General features: G+C 40.1%; 1 long non-coding RNA gene and 1 pseudogene across 1 annotated transcript in view, besides 1 other annotated feature; one reads left to right on the top strand and one right to left on the bottom strand.

The window, feature by feature from the left end:
• LOC105374928 (uncharacterized) overlaps window positions 1-23,500 on the top strand; it is a 106,762-nt gene that overhangs the window by 69,185 nt on the left and 14,077 nt on the right. Inside the window, exons 2-4 of the long non-coding RNA NR_187824.1 lie at window positions 1,018-1,164; window positions 3,766-3,917; window positions 16,964-17,116. This is a non-coding gene — a long non-coding RNA (uncharacterized LOC105374928). The remainder of the gene's footprint in view (window positions 1-1,017; window positions 1,165-3,765; window positions 3,918-16,963; window positions 17,117-23,500) is intronic.
• Window positions 5,458-5,577: an enhancer, noted in NCBI's record as "active region_23988". NCBI's record gives its function as "activates an Ori minimal core promoter by ATAC-STARR-seq in GM12878 lymphoblastoid cells {active_cell/tissue: GM12878}" and the evidence as "EXISTENCE:reporter gene assay evidence [ECO:0000049][PMID:35858748]".
• On the bottom strand, window positions 16,962-17,124 carry RNU1-64P (RNA, U1 small nuclear 64, pseudogene; annotated as a pseudogene).

Below are 23,500 nucleotides of genomic sequence, written 5' to 3' on the forward strand. Positions count from 1 at the left end.
TAGGCTGCATGCTCTCTGCCTGCCCGGGCCGCGGTAACACAGTACTGTACACTGCGCAGCCTAAGTAACAGAAATTTATTTCCTCACTCAAGGCTTTGATAGGGCTGGTTTCTCCTGAGGCTTTTCTCCGTGGCTTGCAGATGACATCTTCTCCCTGTGTCCTCACACAGTCTTCCCTTTGTTATGTCTATGTCCTCATCTTCTCTTCTTATAAGGACACCAGTCGGGTTGGATTTCGGCCCACTGCATGAACTCATTTTACCTTAATTCCCTCTTTAAAGACCCCATCTCCAAATACAGTCACATTCTGAAGAACTGGGGGTTAGGACTTCCACATATAAATTTTGGAAGAGATACACTTCAGATAATAATCTCCAAGGTTGCTTTCCGTTCCAGAGTCATTGGATTTTTTTTTCTCTTTCAAGTACTGACTTTTCATTAATTTATCTTTCCAGTACTAAAAGGGAAGATTCAGCCTGCTATGTTTAGAAAAGATTGCAAAGGACTGAAGTTGTACTTTTCAGCTATCTGTAACCTTGGTCTCTTTAAAATAAAGCCATTCCAAGCCCAGCATGGAGGCTTATCCCTGTAATCCCGGAACTGTGGGAGGCTGAGGCAGGAGGATTGCTCATGGTGACGTGTGGGTCTGTAGTACCCCAGGAGTTCAAGGCTGCAGTGAGCTATGATCACACCACTGCACTCCAGCCTGGGTGTCAGAGCAAGACTCTGGTTTGTTTGTTTGTTTATTTGTTTGTTAAAGCTATTCTGTAGGGCAGAGGGCACTATTCCAGAGTCTGTGAGTAAACCTAAAATTTCTGTACTTTCTCAAAAATGAGACCATTGCACCTATGGCCATTAGAGAATCTTTTGAAAGAGGCTTGCCCTATGAGAATTTTCTAGGATTACTTTTTGAAGGGCATCAAGACTTTCGCCTCACTGTCTTCAGGACTATCCCATGCCTTGGCTATGTTCTTTCAGATGCAAAAGACAGATGTTGTGTTCTGTTTTTTTCATAAGGATGCAAGAGAAGATAAGGAAGACAAGATCTCAACCACTTTCAGCAAAGCTTTGCGGAGAATGCAACATCCTTCAAGACACCATGAAGCTCCACGCATCTGGTCATCTTGTTTCTTCAGGGAATAAATTTATTGTTCTCTGCTTCAGGTGACTGGAGGAGACAAAGTGATCCCCCATTTATGTCTCTGCCTCTACCTTCCCTGCTGCTACCTGCAACTCTCTGGTGTCTTTGGGGGGTTCCAACTCCTTGACGGGGAGGGCGAGTTCCCTGGGCAATTGGCCATCAGTGCACCCTGCCTCTATTGGGAAGAGCTCTTCTACCAGGCTGTTCCATTCTCACAAGTAAGCCTAAAAGAGATGGCTCCCTCAGTGGTTTACCTCTGGTCCTATCAATCTGATGATGAGGCCACTTAGTTCTAAGTAAAGTGACAGATGACCAAGGACTTTCTTTGAAGAGACATTGGGTTGGCCAGGCGCGGTGGCTCTTGCTTGTAATCCCAGCACTTTGGGAGGCCGAGGTGGGCAGATAACCTGAGGTCGGGAGTTTGAGACCAGCCTGGCCAACATGGAGAGACCCTCTCTCTACTAAAAGTACAAAATTAGCTGGATGTGGTGGCACATGCCTGTAATCCCAGCTACTCAGGGGGCTGAGGCAGGAGAATTGCTTGAACCTGGGAGGCGGAGGTTGCAGTGAGCCGAGATTGCACCACTGCACTCCAGCCTGGGCAACAAGAGAGAAACTGTCTCAAAAAAAAAGAAAAAAGAAAAGACATTGGGTGTTCTTGATACTTTAAGATTTCACAGACGAAGAAAATGCAAGTCAGCAAGCAGGTTGCTGAGTATTCCCAGGGTATTCCATCCTTTTCTTCCATTTACCAAAGAGCTAAAGAGTAGTTTATATTCATTGCCTTCACTTTTGCATCTTCACTTTTTTTATACTTCATTTGTTTACCATATCCCTGAAATCCTAGCAGTCTGACATCTGAGAGCCTACCTTCTTTCCCTTAACTCTAACTGAAATTAACTCCCAACTTTAATATCCATTTGTCTTTCTCTCCCCCAACTTGCTGCTGTGTTTAAAACTATTGATTGACAACCCTACTTGTAAAGGCCCCTACCTTGGCTCCTATGACTGCATTATCCTGGGGGTGGGCAGGAAACCCTAGGGAAAGCCTTTCATCAATGAACCTGGATGTGAGTCCTGATTTTTCTCAATACTATCTATGTCACACTGTGTATGTTAATTTTGTTCAATAAGCTTTATTCTTGTTCACCTCGTATATTTGTGACGATTGAGTAATGGGGAAGAATATATTTGTGATGACTGAGTAATGGGGAAGAATTTTGGATAACACCAGGGTTTGGGCTTAGGTGAATAAGAGAATAAATGTGCAGATATTCAAGGCTTACTTCTTATACGTAATTAGTTGCTAAGAGAGATTAACTTCACTTCTATCACGTCTCCCAGATTTATTCCTCCTCTTCATTTTTATTACCTTGGTAGAACTCTTCACCACCTTTGACTTGGCCTAGTGGTTAATGAGCTGAGTTCTGAGCAGCTTTTGGGATTTCCAGGGAGATTCCTCAAGGACTTCTCCTCATTTTAGCAAGGTTAGCTCCACTTTCATCTGTTTTATTTATGTGTTTGTTTTTTTATTTGAAGAAAATATTTTCATTTTCAACTTTAATAAGAAACGACACTTACCCAGTTATTGATTCTGCCTCATCATCGGTCTCTATCTTCAGATCACCTCCCATATGATCTTAGAGTCAGTTCTCTGATTACTTATCCTGAAGCATATTTCTGATCCTGTCATATTGCATTGCCCGGAAATCTACTGTCCAAAATAGCAGTCCTTGGCCATTTGACTACTTAAGTTCGTTAAAATTAAATTAAATTAAATTAAATTAAAAATTCAGTTTCTTAGTGGCACTAGCCATATTTCAAATGCTTAATAGCCACCTGTATCTAGTGGCCTCCATTTTGAACAACTCATTGTTAGAACAGTTCCATCATTCTGGAAATTTGTATTGGATAGAGCTGTGCTAGATAGCTTGATAAACATTTCTGACCTTGGCATTAGGATTTAAAATCTATCTTTACCTGGCTCCTCTGCTGCTGTTTTCCTTTATAAAATGCTTCTGTAAGACTGAACTGTTTTCAAACATGCCATACTCAATTCCTGCTGTCATGCCTCCACTTACCCAACCCCACTCAGAGTGTCTTTTGCTCCATCACTGAACACCCAAATCCTACTCCCCATTTAAGGACTGTCCTCCAAGAAGTCTTTTCTAATTTCCGAACTCAAAGTAATTTACTCTTCCTGTGAACTCTTACAGGATTTTAAATAAAGCACTCTAATGTCATCTACCTCATTTCTTCTAGAATTATAACTATCTATACATGTATTTTAGCCCTTTAATTAGTCGGGGTTCCTCTGAAAGCTGATTCTGAGACAAGGATTCAAATCTGAGTAGTTTAGCTGAGAGGTGATCCCAGTAATCATCAGTGGAGGAGGGGGTTAGTAAAAGTGGGAGGCAAAGAAAATCAATTAAGGATGAATTATCAGTTCAGTTACTGATATGGAGGACTAGACCTCAATCCCACTGGAGGCAATGTGGAACAAAGTTATCCCAGCCAAGGTCAGGGAGGCTCCAATGTGTATTCACCAATGCCTTGCCCATTATTTATTTGAGGGATTCCAGGGAAAATCATTCTTGAGCATTTCCATTTTGTCCTGCATTCAGGGCAGGCACACTTGGCCAGTAAAGAAAATCCCCCCAGCAGAGAATTGCAGATACTCACAGCAAGAAGCCTTTCTTGTGAATGGAGGATGGATGTGGAGCTGGTCCGAGCAGTCTGCCTACTGCATCTGCTATGACACCCAGCAAACTGGAAGGTAGGTCCTGGAGGGCTGAGGTCACATGAGTCATAGATGTGTGTCTCCCTCAGTGACCTAACACCGGCAATCAGCAAAGAGTTGTTCAGCGAATGAATGCGTTATCCCGAAGATATTAGGTACTGGAGAAGAATTTGTCATGGAACCCAGTGGTTTGGATGGGTCAATTCACTTGCTGTCAACTGAGATAATCTCTGAATAGACAGACCTACGCCTAGGGTTTTCTGTTGGCTTTGATGTTCAGTACTTATGGACTAAACATTGTACAAGTGTGGGAATTTGTTGAACCAGACTGTAAAGGAGTTTTGAGATTGCTTCAGAAGCAAAGGAGCTTATATCTAGAGAGGAATACTCGGGAACATCGACTGCAGCACTTGCCTTGGTTAGATGCCTGATGATGCTGTTGTCACAGCCACCAAGGGAACCAGGTTTTTTCATTGCAGCCGGGCTTCAATACAGTCAGCCCTCTATGCCTGTCAGGAGAGGTGGCGGTGCAGTGTAAGACTTGGGAATCTAGGAAGAAAGGGTGTGTGTGTGTCTATGTGCGTGCATAGCATGTGTGTATGTGTGTGTAGCGTATATGCTATGTATGTGGTATGTGTGTGTATGTGTTTGTATGATGCATGTGCTGTGTGCTGTGTATGTTGTGTGTGGTACGTATGTGGTGTGTATATGTGTATTTATGTGTGTGATGTGTATAGAGTCGTGTGTGTGATGTGTATGTGTATGGTGTGTGCGGTGCATATGTGATATGTGCATGTGTGTGTGATGTATGTAGGGTCGTGTGTATGTGTTGTGTGTGTATGATGTGTTGTGTGTGTGCTGTGTATGTGGTTGTGTGTGTGGGTATATATGGTATGTGTATGTATGCATAGGTTTGTGATGTGTGTAGGGTTGTGTATGTATATGGTGTGTGTGTGATGTGTATATGTATATTTGTGTGATGTGTGTAGGGTTTTGTGTGTGTGGTGTGTATATGTGTGTGGTGTGTATATGTATGTGTCTTTCTGTCCTCCAACTTGCTGCTGCATTAGGGTTGTGTGTGTATGGTGTGTTAGGGTGGTGTGTGTATGATGTGTGTGGTGTGTATGTGGTTGTGTGGTGTATATGTGGTGTGTATATGTGTGTGTATATTGGGTTGTGTGGTGTGTGTGGTATGTTTGTGTGAGTGTGTGTGGAGTGTGTGCATGTGATGTGTATTGGGTTGTGTGTGTGGTGTGTGTGTGTGGAGTGTGTGTATGTGATATGTATCGGGTTGTGTGTGTGGTATGTTTGAGTGTGTGTGTGTGGAGTGTGTGCATGTGTGTATCGGGTTGTGTGTGTGGTGTGTGTGGTATGTTTGAGTGTGTGTGTGTGTGTGGAGTGTGTGCATGTGTGTATCGGGTTGTGTGTGTGGTGTGTGCACACGTGTGTGCTGAGAGTCATTGAGGGTACGCATTGCAGCCCTACAGGGCTGCAGAGGACCGAATGCCTGCCTGCACCATGTTGACCCTGATAGCAAGGCTGCTACAATATCGCCTTCCTCATGCCCGTGGCCTACTTTGCTCCCAACTCTCACAGACAAGGAGCCACACATTAAAAGCCTATGTTAAGCAGTCATGTGTCCCAAGAGAAGGGGAACATTGCAGTAAGAAATTCTGGTGAACGATAGAAAGCCAGGTGAGATGAACCTGGGGTACAGGGTCCTGGTCACCTAGCTAACTCAGTTTTCAAGGAGGAACCTGGTTGGAGACTCAGGTAGAAGAGGAAGCTCAGAACAAGTTTCAAACTGGAAGACCAGACAGTGGTTGCAAGTAGAGTCCCTCGAGGCTGAATCACAGCTCACAGTGTATAATTTTTAGAATACTCATCTTCCAGTCCCAGCTTGACACTGACTTGGGGAAGTTACATAGCCTCTTTCAGGCCCCTGCATCCTCATCTTTTAAGACAAAGATGGTGAAAGTCTCTGTTGTCAGGATTAGAGGATTGCTTTTAGCAGAAATTCCCCATGGAGAGCAACTATTATTATGGATGCTGGATCCTGATGGATACCTCGGGGATATCCCATCCCAGTTAAATCTGTAGTAAGGGTTCAGGATGTAACATGGCAGCCAGGAACTGGGGTCATTGCACGGTCATCAAACTCTGAGTTTCACAGTAGATTTGTAGGTTTAGGTTTAAAGTTGCTTACGCAATCCCAGGTTGGTTTGGGAACTAGTGTGGGCTGAGCCTACTGGTGTGGGGAGCTGTAGCCGCAGGGTTAGGGAGAGAAAGGCAGTGTAGAGAGAGATTACGTGGGTGTAGGATTGGGGCCTCATAGACATGCCTCAAAACATTGTGAAGTAAAACTGGGAATAGGGCAACACAAGTATAGGAAGAGAGAAAATGGCCTCTCCAGAATAACTTGAGAGATAACTGCGACCACATCATCTCCAAATACTTCTCCATCCCACACTATAGAATTCCTGTCTGGAATTCCAACTGCTGGATCTCCGGGTTAGGCAACCAGGAAGAGAACATTTTCTACAGGTGGTGACGATTAAAATGCTTCTGTCACCAGAAGGCAGAGAGGCTCAGGGGGGCTGGGGGGGCTGCAATCCTTCGTTCTACTTCTTTTATCGGCACATTGTTCTTTAAAGATGTGGAGATGGTCCCTGTTGGGATAGCACGTGAAACACACTGGTTTCCTGGCTGTAAATAAAACCACTGGTGTTGTGTTTGACATAGCTGCTTTAGTACTTGGTCAGCAGTCCCATATGGTCTAGCAAACCTCTTAATTACAACTACAGAGGACAGATTCCTCTAGTAAACATCACCATGTTTAACTTTTCCTCCTCCTGCTGCTGTCAGTGCACAGAGCATTTGAACTTGTAAGCAGCAGGGGAGAAATACCAAATGTACACTCCCCTACCAGAGCTGAGCTTCTCACACCATTAGAGTTTGAAAGGGCCATTTGGGCAGGTTGCATGAAAAACTGGTAGACACCTGCTCCACTTTACCAAACCACAGTGAAGCAAAGTTTGGTTACTGTGTTTTTTTTTTTTTTTTTTTGAGACGGAGTCTCGCTCTGTCGCCCAGGCTGGAGTGCAACGGCACAATCTCGGCTCACTGCAGCCTCTGCCTCCCAGGTGCAAGTGGTTCTTCTCCTCAGCCTCCCGAGTAGCTCAGACTACAGGCGCATGCCACCACGCCTGGCTAATTTTTGTGTTAGTAGAGATGGGGTTTCACCATATTGACCAGGCTGGTCTTGAACTCCTGACATCAGGTGATCCACTGGCCTCGGCCTCCCAAAATGCTGGGATTACAGGCGTGAGCCACCGTGCCCGGCCAGTTTGATTACTGTTTTAAAGAGACGAGAGAACTAATGTGAGCAAAGGGGCCAGGTAAGGAAAAGATGACTCCGGTATCCTTGAGTAAACTCTCTGTATCCAGGTGGTCAATTTCTGATCCAGTTCATTAGCACCCATGACTGATGGAATAATTTTGCAAGGCCTGGTTTGGCAAAAGTACAGGAAGAAGGCATAGCTCTATGAGTTGAATGGAAGTCTAGAGGTACAGAAAAGGGTGGAGTTGGCCTGCCTATGAGATCATTCTAACATTGGCATGTAGAGGGGGAGGGTGTGAACTATGCTAATTTGTTATAAAAATGAGCGGAACCTTCGAGCCGGCTTCTGCTTTGAACATCCCTCCTGATCTCAGCAAGCTGCCTCCACCAGAGAAGGGCTGCCATGCTGGGAAACTCCATCCAGTGACTCCATCCCTTGGAAACATGCCCGTTTGAAAAAAGTACTACCCTGCTTAAAGATTCTAAATCTTGCCTTAATCCACTTCAGATTGAACTATTGCCAAAAAGGTACTTATTCAGAGTCTTTCACCTATGAAACCAAGATGCCGTGTGCCCATTGTAAATTCAGATGTGTCCAGTCACATGTTTAGTAGAGACATTTCAGGATGTAATTTACATAGTCATCAAACTGTGAGCTGCACACCAGCTTTGTAGGTTTGGGTTTAAAGTTGCTTGAACAATCCAAGGTCAGTTTGGGAACTAGCATGGGCTGAGCCTGCTAATGTGGGTGCATCGGAGGTGCAAGGGCAATAGGGTGGGCTTACCATGGTATGTTATTTGCCTGAGGAGTGAATGCCTTATGAGGAAGAAGTCATCCCCAGGTAGAGTATACAGATCTGGGCCACAAAACATGGTTTTTCGTCATTTTTGGAGAGACTGGGTAGTACGAATGGCTGCTCATACTGCTGTATGCCTGAACAGGCCCTCATAGACATGATAAAGGACCCTAAGGAGATGAGCCCCAAGAAGACAGCCTAGCAATGGAGGATAATAGTCACAGGGACAGAGGCTGCCTCCCTGCCTACCTCATCACACTCTAGCCACTGCACTGACAGGCTACCAAGTGCATGGAATGAGGTCATGGCCATTTGTGGGAAGTGCTTAGTAGTGACCCGAAAATCCTGCTGTCAGTATCAGTGACTGTGGGACCCAGCCAAGTACCCTCTAAAGAGTTGCAGCAGGCTTGTCACCATAGCTACTGTGGATTCACAAGGCTGTTTTGAGGATCCAGGGGAACTTCTCGAGAGCATGTGCACAATTGTCCCTGGGAATTTCCGAAACTAGCTGGGAGAGATTGGAGATGTTCTGAGGCTCTCATGCTCCACAATTTGTGGTTAAGCCAAAGAAGACAGCCTTTGCCAGTACTAGTGTGTCAAAGAAAAATATGTCACGTATACATTCTATGAGCACAAAGTGATGAGACAGGGCCATAAGTTAAGCATGGGAATCAGTCTCATCCCTGACAGACACACGTTAGGTAGGAACATGATTCTACTGATTTACCATATAATTGTGTTTGGCTTTCTTTTGTGTTAGTCCCAGCATAAGATAGATAGGGTTTGAGCTGATCACGCCTTACTTGAGCTGATCACACCTTACTTTCTCCCTCAGTTCTTGTGGTTAATTAGCAAGATGACAGGTCAGCTAGGGTATGGGTGGAGTCAAAGTTGTAGGATACCCTCAGAAAATCAGCTCTTCAGAGTTCAAGCTGCCTCCATCCTTTCTGACATTTGATTTATCCCCTACCAGGCTATGAAGCCTTGACTTTATAGTATAAACCTCTAATCAGATAAGCGGATCACAAAACCATCTTTATTCTCAAGACCACTGCTCTATTGCCCTAACCATCCTTGAGCCATCTCAGGGTAGAGGCATCAGCCTTCAGGAGTTACATAGGCACTGGCAGATCATCATAATAAGGACGGGTTGCCAACCTGCTCAGGTTACAGTGAATGCTGATGGGTAGAGTCTGCTTTGAATTTCTCTGACAAGAGGGAGATACAATGTATTTGGTTCACCCAATTCATTTTAAGGGATTTGGTTCCCAGATTTCCTGCAATCGGAATCATGGCCCATTTTCACAGCCACTAGAGCATTAAATTCGTGTATACAAAATAAAGGACTAGAAAACATGTAAACCTAAAAATGTTTAAGCTAAAATTGTGGTACAGATGTTATCTGAGTCCCATAAATCAGTATTCAGAAATATTGTCTTACTGTCAGAAGCAAACAGCAAACAGAGACTTGCATTAGCTATGTGTCTAGATAATGGCAAAAATTAAGTACAGTATTGTTTAGAAATCATAGGCTGGCAGATCTCTTTTCCTTTTCAGGGTTTAAAGAAAGCATAACCTTCTCTGTTGCATTTAACAAAGGAAAAAAAAGGATTTTCTTGTTTTTTGTGCGTACACCCTGCCTAGGGATGAGTTATTCATCAAAATAAGCTTCCTTGTGTTTTAGAATTTGAGAATTTAGAATACTGAGCATTCTCTAACACATCGCCCTAAACATGCTAGTTTGATTCTGAAGCCTTTTTTCCATTTTGTCAAGTTCACCCTCTGAAAGGGACAGTGAAAAATTAGGGGTTGGCTCCACCTGGTGCTTTGATTAGAAAATTACACCTCCATGTATGAGGGCTGTCAACGGACAGTGTGCCCTCTTGCGCACGGAAACAGTAAAAATACTACATAAATATTACTTAAAAATACTAAAACTACCCCACAAGAGTGACCAGTTAACTCACTTTCCATGCAGGGTGCTAAGGACTATTTTTGTATGGTTGTTTTAGTGTCTGTTGCTATGGAACAAATCATCTTAAAATATAGAAGCTTAAGACAACAAAATCATTTATTATCTCCCACGGTGTCTATGGGCCAGGAATTCAGAAGGAGCTCTGTCGGGTGGTTCTGCCTGGAGGCTTCTTTCACATGAGATCGCAATCAGACAGTACTTGGGGTTATTGTAAAGCCTCATTCGCTCCCGTGTCTGGTGTCTGAGCTGATAAGACTGGACAGGCTGGGGTGGGAGCTTCTCTCTGTCTCTATGTAGTCCCTCTTTAGGGTTTCTCAAGCATAGCCAGACTTGTTTCATGTTGGCTCAGAACATCCAAGGTGGTGTCCCCAGAAAGAGAGCCAGGAGGAAGCCGTGTTGCTTTTTATGATCCAGCCTCAGAGGTCAGGAAATGTCACTTCTGCTGTGTTCTGTTGATAGAGGTAATTGCAAACGTCTACCCAGGTTCAAGGGAAGGGAACATAGCCTCCACCCCTCAATACAGGAATGTCAGTGTCACGTCAGAAGAAGAGCATGTGGGATGGGATATATATTTGTGCATCATCTTTGTAAAAATACAATCAACCACAATTGTTTTATTTAATCATCCTTCACCGTAAATGAAGTTGCTTCGATATATCATTATCCCAATTTTACATTTAAGTGAAAGCAGAAGGAAACATTAAAGATCTTCTTACGCCCTTTCGGTGTCATACTAGAGCATTGCCTAATAAGCTGTCAAAAGTGTCATCTGTACACGATTCTCAGTCTTGGCGCTATTGAAATTTTGGTCTGGGTAATTCTTTGCCGTGGGGGCTGTTCAGGGCGTAATAGGTCATTTAGCAGTATCCCTGGCCCCTGCCCACCAGACACCAGTAGCACACCTTCATCCCTTTAGTTGCGATAGCCACAAATGTCTCCAGACATTGTCAGATATCTCTGGGGTGAGGAGAGGGCAAATGTTCCCCCAGTTGGGAAGTTTTACAGGAAGAAAGTTACTTTGATTATTTGCTATTGATGAAGGTGAGACTCTTGTAAAGTTAATGTTAACTTGTGGAGGATCATTATGTTGCAATTCATTTCTGTCCAGTAGGAAATATAAATCCTACAGATTATAGTTGTGTTGTTTTATAATTTACCAGTTTCAACTTCACTTGCAGTCTTATTCCAGCATTCTTTTTGTTCATTGACTATATATAGTAATTTTTCTTCTCCTTCTTCATTCATTGATAAGTTAAATAAACCTTTGTCACATGTGTGCATACACACACACACACACACACAAACGCACACACACACCAGCTCCTTGGCAGAATGCAGAGTGAGAATTCTCTCCAATATGGGGATATGGAGCTATTATGATCTCCCTTCAAGAAAGAACTTGTAGATTAGCTGTGAGGGTGCAGTTAGGTGATGGCCTTGGTTGCAGTGCCTCTGGTTGCTTAGCCACAGCAGTTGAGCTGAGGCCATGCTTTTCCTAGGCAGACCTTTAACAGCTAATGAGCACAGTGGGCGTGCCAGGGCCTGGCCCTTTCTGTTCATCATGGAACTTCTCCAACAGGCAGCCTTTGCTCTGGAGCTCTCTGTTGGGCTGGCTGAGACTTTTGCAGGACAGCACTGCAGTTTGAGACTCTTCCTAACTAACCCTCCTTCTCCCTCCCCTTTCACAGGTGACAGACCTGCATCTCTAGCCTTTTTGTGCTTCAGGCACAACTCAAAGCTGCCAATAATCATGTTGCCCAATTTGTGAGCTGGAACTGCAGTCTTTTTGTTTTTTTGAGACGGAGTCTGGCTCTTTCGCCCAGGCGGGACTGCAGTGGCGCTATCTTGGCTCACTGCAAGCTCCGCCTCCCGGGTTCACACCATTCTCCTGCCTCAGCCTCCTGAGTAGCTGGGATTACAGGCGCCTGCCACCGCGCCTGGCTAATTTTTTTTTGTATTTTTAGTAGAGATGGGGTTTCTCCGTGTTAGCCAGGATGGTCTCAATCTCCTGACCTCGTGATCCGCCCGCCTCGGCCTCCCAAAGTGCTGGGATTACAGGCGTGAGCCACCACGCCTGGCCTGGAACTGCAGTCTTAAGTGTGGCATGAGTTGCCTTCAGAACCCAAAGAGGCCTACCAGGCACTTCTTTTTTGAGGTATGAGATATAAGATGCAGCAATTTATCGTTTGCTTTGGAGGGAATATTCCAGCATGAACCTAACCACTGGATTCCTTAAATCCTCATTCATCTTTTCCTCTCTGGAGCATGAGTGTTTTACCAAGACCTCCAGCATACTAGCCACCTCTTGCTTCTTCTGGCCAATGAACATGATGTCATTGATGCAGTGGATGGGTTTGATGTTCCGTGGGTTCAGGTGATCTAGATTATTTCAGACTATTATGGCAAAGGGCAGCTGAGTTAAGATAGCTCTGAGGCAAAGCAATAAATGAATATTGGAGTCTGTCCACGTGAATGTGAATTGTTCCTGATCTTTTTTTCTAATATGGATAGAAAAGGCACATTCACCAAATAGACAACCACATGCCACGGGCCTGCGGCCTGTTTAATGTGCTCCAGCTGTGATCCCACCTCTGGCACAGCAGCCGCAGTCGACCACCATGTGATTGAAACTGTACTCATCTGTTGTCATTCTTCAGAGTCCATCCACTTCCTGCTGGGGGAGACTAGCAATTAAAAAGAGATATGATAGAGACGACCAATCCCTATTTTGTATTTACCATCTTGCCTGGGGGACAGTTTCGGAGTTTCCATTTGGCCTCTCCCACTATGATAGCACTTCCTCACTGACCAAGGAACAAATATAGGGTTTACTCCAACTGCCAAGTACATTCATTCCAGTGATACATGGAAATGGAGAAATGCTTCCTGGGTGAGTCTACAGGTTCTGTGGGCCCACTCTGTGCCAGACCCAGCTAGGACTCCATTCATTACTTGATTCTTATAAGGCCCCACTTCAACAAGGGGTCCGGGTGTCAAGGTCAACTCGGAACTTGTGTGCAATAGTCTAGACCTTCCCTTTCCCTGGCATACAGTCACCTAAGCAAATGGTCGTGGGTCCCTTTAGGGAAGGATGGGACAAGTCATCTCGATATAAACTTGTTGCAGTGTTGCAGGGTACTTATTCTTAGGGACCTGGCTGTCTTTTTAGTCAATGGATTTTGGACCTGAAAATTGGCTCAGTTCCTAGAATTGAGGAAAGTATCCTGACTTTTTACTGGGGCAATTGCTGTCAGCCTCTTGCCCCTCCTTTCTTGCCTTTTCTCGTTGTAGATGTTAAGCGTCAGCCTTGTTTGCCCTTATCTATTTTGCCTGTGGGAATGCCATGCTCCAGTATCCATCCCTCCACCTCCTTGAAGGTCAAGCCCCTTTGATGCCTCTGATCTTCCCGGTCGTTACAGTAACTGTGGACTCTGGGTTTCTAGTGGTTAAGCTTGGCCACTTGGTCTCTCATTCTGAGGCCTTACTATCCTCATGAATATTAATTACCTAGCTCTGTGACAGCAACCACTGAACATAGATGAGGCCTGATGTTTTGGTGAATGGGCCTTCCTGTGGGACATACTCCTCTGGTTAGTGTCCAGGTTTCACATAATATATCCATTCTAGCACATCTCACCTCTTTATGCTTTCCTCTAGCTTCTGCCAGGGAAACTCAGGCATTTGCACTGAGTCATTGGCTCGGGGGAGCTGGCAGGAAGCATGGATTTAGCATAAAGGTGGTGGTGCGTCACAAAGGACAGCAGTTGGGCCATAAGTCAGTTATGCTTCTGAAGCAGCAGACCAACATGGTGCATTTTCATGACTGCCACATATGCAAAAGCATGACATATATGATTTATTTTAAAAGAACCACCCTTGTGGAAACAACATTGGGCAAAATCAGTAAAATACTGACTTTATACACACTGTCATTTTAATAAAAATAAAGAGAGATAACATTTATTGAGCATTCATGATATGCCAGGTGCTCTATTAGACACATATTGTAACATTACCTCATTATGTAGTTATTACTATCAGTCTAATTTTACAAATGAGCAAGAGGAATACAATGTAACTAAAGAAACTGCTCAAATTTACATAGTAAGTAAAGAGGAAGACATGGAATTGGAACCAGGTGACCAAATTCACAGCATCAGATATTCTTTCGTTTTTTATGTCAGTGTTGTTTAGTTTTCAACATAGAGATTTTGCACATATTTTATTGGATTTATAGCTATATATTTCAGCTTTTGATGCTATTGTAGATGATACTGGTTTTAAAATTTCATTTTCTAATTACTCATTGCCAGTATATAGAAATGTAATTGATTTTTGTATATTGACCTCTATCCTGAAATTTTGCTAAACCAAATTAAAATTTTTATAACATTTCTTACAGATCCTATGGGATTTTTCTGTATAGTCAATGTCATTTGCAAGTAGAGGCAGTTTTATTTTTTTCTTCCCAATCTGTATGTCATTTTATTTCTTTTTCTTGCCTTATTTCACTAGCTAAGAGCTCTAGTACAATACTGGTTAGGAGTGGTAAGGGGAGATATCTTGCTTTTTTTTTTAATTTTAGGAAGAAAGTTTTCAATATGTGACTATTAAGTATGATAGCTTTAGGTTTGCTGTAGACACACTATATCTAATTGTGAAAATTTCCTTCTATTCTTAGAATGCTGAGCATTTTATCTTTTTAAAATCATGCATGAATATTAAATTTTGCCAAATGCTTTTTTATCAGCTATTGAGATAATCATATATGTTTTCTCTTTAGTCTGCTTGAATTACATGGATTGATTTTTCTAAAGTTGAAACAACCTTCTATTCCTAGGATAAACCGCCCTTGGACATCATATATTATCTGTTTCACATACTAAAGGATGATTTTTTTTTTTAAGTTTTTTAGAACTGATGGCCTGGCACGGTGGCTCATGCCTGTAATCCCAGCACTTTGGGAGGCCGAAGTGGGTGGATCACCTGAGGTCGGGAGTTTAAGACCAGCCTGACCAACATGGCAAAACCTCATCTCTACTAAAAGTACAAAAATTAGTCGGGTGTGGTGGTGCATGCCTGTAATCCCAGCTACTCAGGAGGCTGAGGCAGGAGAAACGCTTGAACCTGGGAGATGGAGGTTGCAGTGAGCCGAGATCACGCCACTGCACTCCAGCCTGGGAGACAGAATGAGACTCCATCTCAGAAAAAAAAAAATGTTTTTTAGAATTATGATGTTCATGAGGGATATGTATCTCTTTTTTCTTATGTTTACCTAATTTGTTATTAGAATAAAGCTAGCTTGATAAAGGACAGATAAATATTTCCTTCTCTTCTATTTTCTGGAAGAGTTTGTGTAGAATTTGTATTATTTCTTCCTTAATTGGGTAGAATTCATAGGTGATGCATTTGGACCTGGAGTTTTATTCATAAAATGATTTGTATTACAAATTCAATTTATTTACTAGATACAGGTCTAGATTATCTATTTCTTCTTGAAGAAAACTTGATAATTTGACCCTTCTAAGAAATATATCTATTTCAGCATGTGTTGGTATACTTAGAAAGGAAACATGTCTATTTCATCTAAGTTATTGAATGCATTTGCATAAAGTTGTTTGTAATACCTGCTGATTATCCTTTTAATGTCTTTGGGGTCAGTAATGACGTTCTTCTTTTATTTCTGATATTTGTTTGCAATTTGTGTCTCCTCTTTTTATTCTAATCACTCTGGCTAAAAGTTTATCTTTTTTGTTGTTCTCAAAAAAACAAACAGCTTCGTTTTCATTGATTTTCTCTATGGTTTTTCCATTTTCTATTTTATTGATTTCTCTTCCTATGTTTATTATTTCCTTTCTTTTACTTACTATGAGTTTTATTTAAGGTAGAAATTGAAGTTTTTGAAATGACAGTTTTTTTCTTTTCCAATATAGTTGTCTAATGCTATAGATTTCCTTCTCAACACTGTTTTAGCCGCATCTCACAAATATTAATATGTTGCTTTTCATTTAAATTAAATTTAAAATATTTCCCCCTTTTTTTTTTTTTTGAGATGAAGTCTCGCTTTGTCGCTCAGGCTGGAGTGCAATGGCACAATCTTGGCCCACTGCAATCTCCGCCTCTGGGGTTCAAGTGGTTCAAATGATTCTCCTGCTTCAGCCTCCCGAGTAGCTGGGATTATAGGCATGTGCCACCACAGCCGGCTAATTTTTGTATTTTAGTAGAGACGGGGTTTCACCATGTTGGCCAGGCTGGTCTTGAACTCCTGACCTCAGGTGATCTGCCCGCCATAAGCCTCGCAAAGTGCTGGGATTACAGGCATGAGCCACTGCACCCAGCCCCAATTTCTATTTTTATCTTTTCTATGACTCACTTGTTGTTGAAAATTGTGTAGCTTAAATTCCAAATCCTTGGGAATTTTTTCAGATATCTTTCTGTTATAGATTTCTAGTTTAATTCCTAGTTTAAATCACAGAAGATACTTTGCATATAATTCTATTTAAATTTATTGAGGTTTGTTTTATGGCCGGGAATATGGTCTTTCTTTGGTGAATGCTCCGTGTGCACTTGAAAATAATGTATATTCCACTGTTATTGGGTTGGATGTTCTATAAACTTTGATTAGGTCAAATCAGTTAATAATATTGTTCTTGCCTTCTATATCCTTACTGATTTTCCCTTTACTTGTCTTCTTGATTACTGAAAGAGGAGTATAAATGTCTTAATGATTAATTTGTCTACTTCTTTTAGCTCTAGCAGTTTTTGCTTCATGTATTTTGAAGGTCTGTTGTTAATTGCACACACATTTATGCTTTTTACCTCTTCTTATATCTTGTTTTAAACTTACTCCTTTATTATTATTTAAGGTCCTTCTTTATCACTTTTAGCATATTTTGCCTTTATAGGTACAATGGGTTTGTTTTGTAGACAGCATGTAAGAGTACTATGCTCTTTTTATTTTTTATTTCAGGGAAAAGCAGTTACAAAGTTTCCAACCAGCACAAATTCCATAGTCAGGTTTTCCACATGTGGGGAAATGACAGGGGTCAGCACATCCAACGTGCAATGGACAAGCCTTGCACTGGGTAAACCACGTTCATGGTCATGGAATCTCATTTACCAGGTAAGTATTGGTCTTGCTTTTCAAAAATCAATCTGATACTTTCTGCATTTTAATGGGAAATTTAATGTAATTATTGACATTGGTTAGATTTAAATCTGCCATCTTGCTATTTGTTTTATATGTATTCTATTTAGTCTTTGTTCCTTTTTTCCCTCTTTTTCCTTCTGTTCTGAATTAATGGAGTATTTTTATGATTCCATTTTACACTCACTATCGTTTTTTAAAAAACATGTATTTTGGGGGCCGGGCACGGTGGCTCATGCCTGTAATCCCAGCATTTTGGGAGGCCGAGGCGGGTGGATCATGAGGTCAGGAGATCGAGACCATTCTGGCTAACATGGTGAAACCCCGTCTCTACTAAAAATACAAAAATACAAAAATTAGCCGGGCATGGTGGTGGGCGCCTGTAGTCCCAGCTACTCGGGAGGCTGAAGCAGGAGAATCACTTGAACCCGGGAGGCGGAGCTTGCAGTGAGCTGAGACTGCGCCACTGCACTCCAGCCCGGTGACAGAGCAAGACTCTGTCTCAAAAATAAAAACAAACAAAAAAACATATCTTTTATAACTTTTTAATGGTTGCCATAGGTCTGCTAATATATACCTTTAATTAGTCACAATCTACCTTGAAACTATTGTGTTTCACATGTAGTTTAAGGATCTCACCCTCACAACTCTATACTCCCAAGTCCTCTTTCCCATCCTTTGTGCTAAAATTTTCATAAGTTTTAGAAGTAAATATTCTACCAGCATACACTACATGGCTACTACTTTTGCTTTAGTCATTCCATTATCTTTCAGGGCAATTATCAACTTAAAAATGTCTTTGATATTTACCTTCCTTTTCAGCATTTCTGTAATCTTCATTTCTTTGTGTACAACTAAGTTTCTAGGATCTTATTCCTCCTGCTAAAGTACTTATTTAATTTTTCATCTTGCACAGATCTGCTGATGTTAATTCTTTCATCTTTCGTTTGTTCAAAACAATATTTATTTGACTTTATTTTAAAAGATATAGAATTCTTGCTGATTCAAGCAATGGATAAAAAATATAGAATTCTGAGATGCTAGTTTTTTTTTCTTTCAATGCTTTAAAGATGTCACTCTTGTCTTCTGGGTTGCATAAATTCTAATGAGACATCTACTATAATTCTTATTTGGGTTGCCCTCAAGATTTTCTTTTGACTCTTGGTTTCCAGCAGTTTGAATTTTATTTGTCTAGTTAGATTTTTTTCCTTACATATGCTGCAAGGGGTCCCATGCATTTCTTGGATATGTATTTTGATGTTTTCCATTATTTTTATTTTTTCAAATATTTCATCTGATCAGTTTTTTTCTTTTTTATTCTGTTTGTATGGCATCTAACATCTCTTCATCTCATGCTTTGACTCAGGTATGACAGTGCTTGCATCCTAATAAGGGCCTTTCTTTAAATTTCAGTCTTCTTGGTTGTGCTGCAACCTTTGTTCTCTGATGGAAAAAAGTGTTATAATTGTACTGTTTATCTGGAGCTTTCTTGTTATGGTAGATGTTATGTTTTCTTTCCAGTTTTCCTATACACCGATAATATCCAAGCTGAAAGCCAAATAAAAAACACAGTTCTATTCACAGTAGCCACAAAAAAGTAAAGTAAAATGCCTAGCAATACAGTTAGCCAGGGAGGTGAAAGATTTCTACAATTAGAACTACAAAGCACTGCTCTAAGAAATCAGAAATGATACAAACAAATGGAAAAACATTCCATAATCACGGATAGGAAGAATCAATATTGTTAAAATGGCTATACTGCCCAAAGCAATTTATAGATTCAATGCTATTTTTATCAAATTACCAATGATATTCTTCACAGAACTAGAAACAACTATTTTAAATTTCATATGGAACCAAAAAAGAGCTCGAATAGCCATGGCAATCCTAAGCAAAAAGAACAAAGCTGGAGGCATCAAGTTACCTGACTTCAAACTATACTACAAGGCTACAGTAACCAAAACAGCATGGTACTGGTACAAAAACAGACACACAGACGAACACAACAGAATTGAGAGTCCAGAAATAATGCTACAGACCAACAACCATCTGATCTTTGATAAAGTTGACAAAAACAATGGAGAAATAACTCCCTATTCAACAAATGGTGCTGGGATAACTGGCTAGCCATATGCAGAAGATTGAAACTGGACTCCTTCCTTACACCATATATAAAAATTAACTCAAGATGGATTAAAGACTTAAATGTAAAACCCCAAACCATAAAAACCCTGGAAGATAATCTAGCAACTACCATGGTGGACATAGAACCTGGCAAAGATTTCATGACAAAGACACCAAAAGCAAGTGTGACAAAATAAAAAATGGACACATGGGACCAAATTAAACTAAAGAGCTTCTGCACAGCAAAAGAAACTATCAACAGAGCAAACAGACAACCTACAGAGTGGGAGAAAGTATTTGTAAACTATGCATACAACAAAGGTCTAATATCCAGAATCTGTAAGGAACTTAAACAAATCAACAAGCAAAAAACAAATCCCATTAAAAAGTGGGCAAAGGACAGAATAGACACTCTCAGAAGATACACATGTAGTCAACAAGCATATGAAAAAATGTTCAACATAACTAGTCATTACAGAAAGGTAAATCAAAACCAGGATGAGATGCCATCTCACACCAGTCAGAATGGCTATTAATAAAAAGTAAAAAAATAACCGATGCTGATGAAGTTATGGAGAAAAGGGAATGTTTATACACTGCTGGTGGGAAGGTAAATTAGTTCAGCCATTATGGAAAGCAGTTTGGCAATTTCTCAAATAACTCAAAGCAGAACTACCATTCAACTCAGTAATCCCATTATTAGGCATATACCCAAAGGAATATAAATGATTATACCATAAAGACACATGCACATGTATGTTCACTGCAGCACTATTCACAATAGCAAAGACATGGAATCAACCTAAATGCCCATCAACAGTAGACTGGATAAAGAAAATATGATACATATACACCATGAAATACTACACAGACACAAAAAAACAACAAGAACATGTCCTTTACAGCAATATGGATGGAGCTGGAGGCCATTATCCTACATAAGCTAACACAAGATCAGAAAACAGATACTGCATATTCTCACTTTTAAGTGGGAGCCGAACATTGAGTACATATGAACACAAAGAAGGGAACAACAGACATTGGGGCCTCCTTGAGGGTGGAGGGAGGGAGAAGCGTGAGGATAAAAAAACTATCAGGTACTATGCTTATTACCTGGGTGGTGAAATAATCTGTACACCTAACCCCCCTGACATGAAATTTACCTATATAAAAACCTGCACATGTACCCCAAACCTAAAACCAAAGTTAAAAAAATAAAAATTAAGATTAAAGTTTTACTATGAAAAACCATAAGTTTACACGGATATTTCCAATTGCAATCAAACATTACAGAGTACATTTCCTTTTACCCATGTCCACATGCATTTCCCTTCTCAACAGTGGGAAACCTGACTCTCATCCTCTTATTATCATAGATATGTTATATATATTATACATATATTGTGTATATTAAATTATAAAATATTACTATAATAAATGCATTTTATTAAGTCTAGAATACAGAGAATGTTTCTGAATTGCCAGCCCATACCCTTGTGAAAAGCAAACCTGCTATCGTTCAATATCTCTTCATATTTTTAAAGATAAAATTTACATAACTGAAGTGCATAAATCGTAAGTGTTCAATTTAATGGCCTTTAAAAATTTACATAATTATAATATTACATACTTACATACTTATAATATTACAAATTTACATACTTATAATATTACAAATTTAACCTCTTGTTTGAAGACTGCTTTGGATAAGCTCCCCATGCAACTTTAACATCTCTTTATTACAAAACTTATTGCAATGATTTCTCTGTAGAGTCATCCATTCTTTAGAGAAGTCCACTGTGTTCACTAGAATATTAACTCATTAAAGAAAGGGACTATGCCTTTTCAGTTTGGGGTCTCTACTTTTGGACAGTATCTGGTATACAACAAGGTACCAATGAATGTTTGCTACATAAGTAAAGTTCCATTGGAACAAATACCCTGCAGCTTTAAATAGGGGAGCTGTGTAATTTTAAATCTAAGATCTGCTTACTACTAAATCATCAGCTAAGGGAGATTCTACTAAATCACCAGCCAAGGGTGTTACGACAAGAATTGTCAGAGCATGAAAGGAAAAAGAAGGCAGCAGTTGAAATGCTAATAAATCATTAGGTTCCTATAACTCTTTACAGAGACATAAAGCTGCTCTAATCACTTATCAACTAGCCTTTGAAATTGGTGGGTGGCACAAATTATTTCCACTATATTTATATATTAAGACTTCAGTCTTAGCAAGATATTTCAAAGTAAGTATAGGTTATCTGTCCAAAACTTAATGGAGAAGAACATTTTTGTAGTTCTTGGTTGATATTCTGACATCTAAGATTATTATTTTCAGTTGTCTAAAAGCAGAGGGTAATCAAATCTGTTGACAGGTATTACTTTTATAGCACTAACTATCTTGGCAAAGAGAGAGGTTACATGTACTGAAATATGATTACACAGTTGTTTTGGAGTCGTGTCTGGAGATGTTCTGTTTTTCTTTAAATAACAATAACGAAGAATATTATATTCTTATATATATAATTTCATCAAATACTTGTTTCAAATGTCTGTAAGAAACTACCACAGAGCAGTTTTATAAAAAGAGCCCTGGAGAGAAATTTTAAATTTCAATTAATTTAAAACTGGATTCTGTCTCTGGATCATCCAGCTGCCAACTTGAAACCTTAGTCAAGTCATAATACTTTCAGCTAAAGGAAGACAATAAAGCTACTTCATAAGGTTGTTATGAAGGCTAAATAATATGTCATTAATAATAATAATATTAATAATAAAAATAGAGTGAATTATATGTATTGGGGACTTACCATATGCTAGACACTCCAAATTTTGTATTTAATTCTCACACAACCAAATGAGGTAGGCCTTATTATTACCCTTTTTGAATGATGAGAAAACTGGAGTTTAGAGAAATTAAGTGTATTGCTCAAGGTCACACACAGTAAAGTAGTATAGCAAGAATTCAAATCCAGGTCTCTCATACCAAAATACAATTGTAATTGCATTTCTTCCCAAATACATGTAAAGTGCCTAACAGAATGTCTGACATATATGAAATCATCACGATGTGCTAGTTCCTTTTGTTTCTTACTCTACATCCTCTAGCACATCTCAAACATGCTATCAAATTTAACAACCACCTAAAATATATTATGCCATCAAATCTGCATTGCCAACTCAAACCACCTTTCTCCAGTCTCAAGAACTATACATCCAGCTTCTTTAAGTGTCCAACAGGCATGCCAAATTCAAAATGGCCTCATGCAAACTTATCACTTTTCTCTTAAATGTGCTCCATTTATGATCCCCAAACAGTGAATATTACCATTTATTCAGATGCCTAAAATAGAAATATGAGAGTCAGGGCTTTTAAAAAATAGTTTTGTAATCTGATTTAAGTCTTCAATGCTTATTGACATGTTGTTTATATTTCCTAGGATGACTGATCAAATCTTTCTAATCATTAAAAATTCAGCTTACATATTATCTCCCCTTTGGATCTTTGTAATATCAGTTAAATAGTATCACCTCTGTTCAGCTGCCATACCTTGTATATAACTCTTTTTTGTTATCATACTATATTTTAGTGATAAATTTTCATATTTCTCTCTTCTCCTACACTAACACAGTACATCTGAACTTTTGGGATGATAGAAATGTTCTATATATGTGCTGTCTACTATGGTAGTCAATAGCTACATGTGGCTATATATTGAGCATTTGAAATGTGGCTAGTGGTATTAACGTAATACCTGTCTGTCAACACAGGAACTAACTTCTTAATTTTGTTTATTTTTGCTTAATGTAAAAATAATTTTAAAATAGCTACACATGGCTAGCAACTACCGTAATGCACAGTGTAGCACTTGATTTTGAGCTCGGTGAGGGCAAATACCATATCTTACTCACTTTTATCCTATGCCTAGAACATAGCAGATCCTCAAAAAATATATGGAGAATGAGTGAATGAATGAATAAATATTTTACAGTGGTAGAATAGAGAAAAATCTACTTATCATAAGCACCAGGGAACTATTACATAGAGGTACTGTGAAAACTAATAAGCACTGATTTCTTGGTGAATAAAAACTTAATGCAAATAAGTTTCTAAAATGAAATGGAGAAGTAATTTCTATCGGGTCAACCCACTCTCAGGTAACAAAAATAAGCTCCATACAAAATATAAAATATAATTGGATTAATCTAAAGGCACTCTAGAAGACATGAAAGAAA

Source organism: Homo sapiens, chromosome 6 (assembly GCF_000001405.40).
Source record: "Homo sapiens chromosome 6, GRCh38.p14 Primary Assembly".
In the NCBI taxonomy this organism is placed as follows: domain Eukaryota; kingdom Metazoa; phylum Chordata; class Mammalia; order Primates; family Hominidae; genus Homo; species Homo sapiens.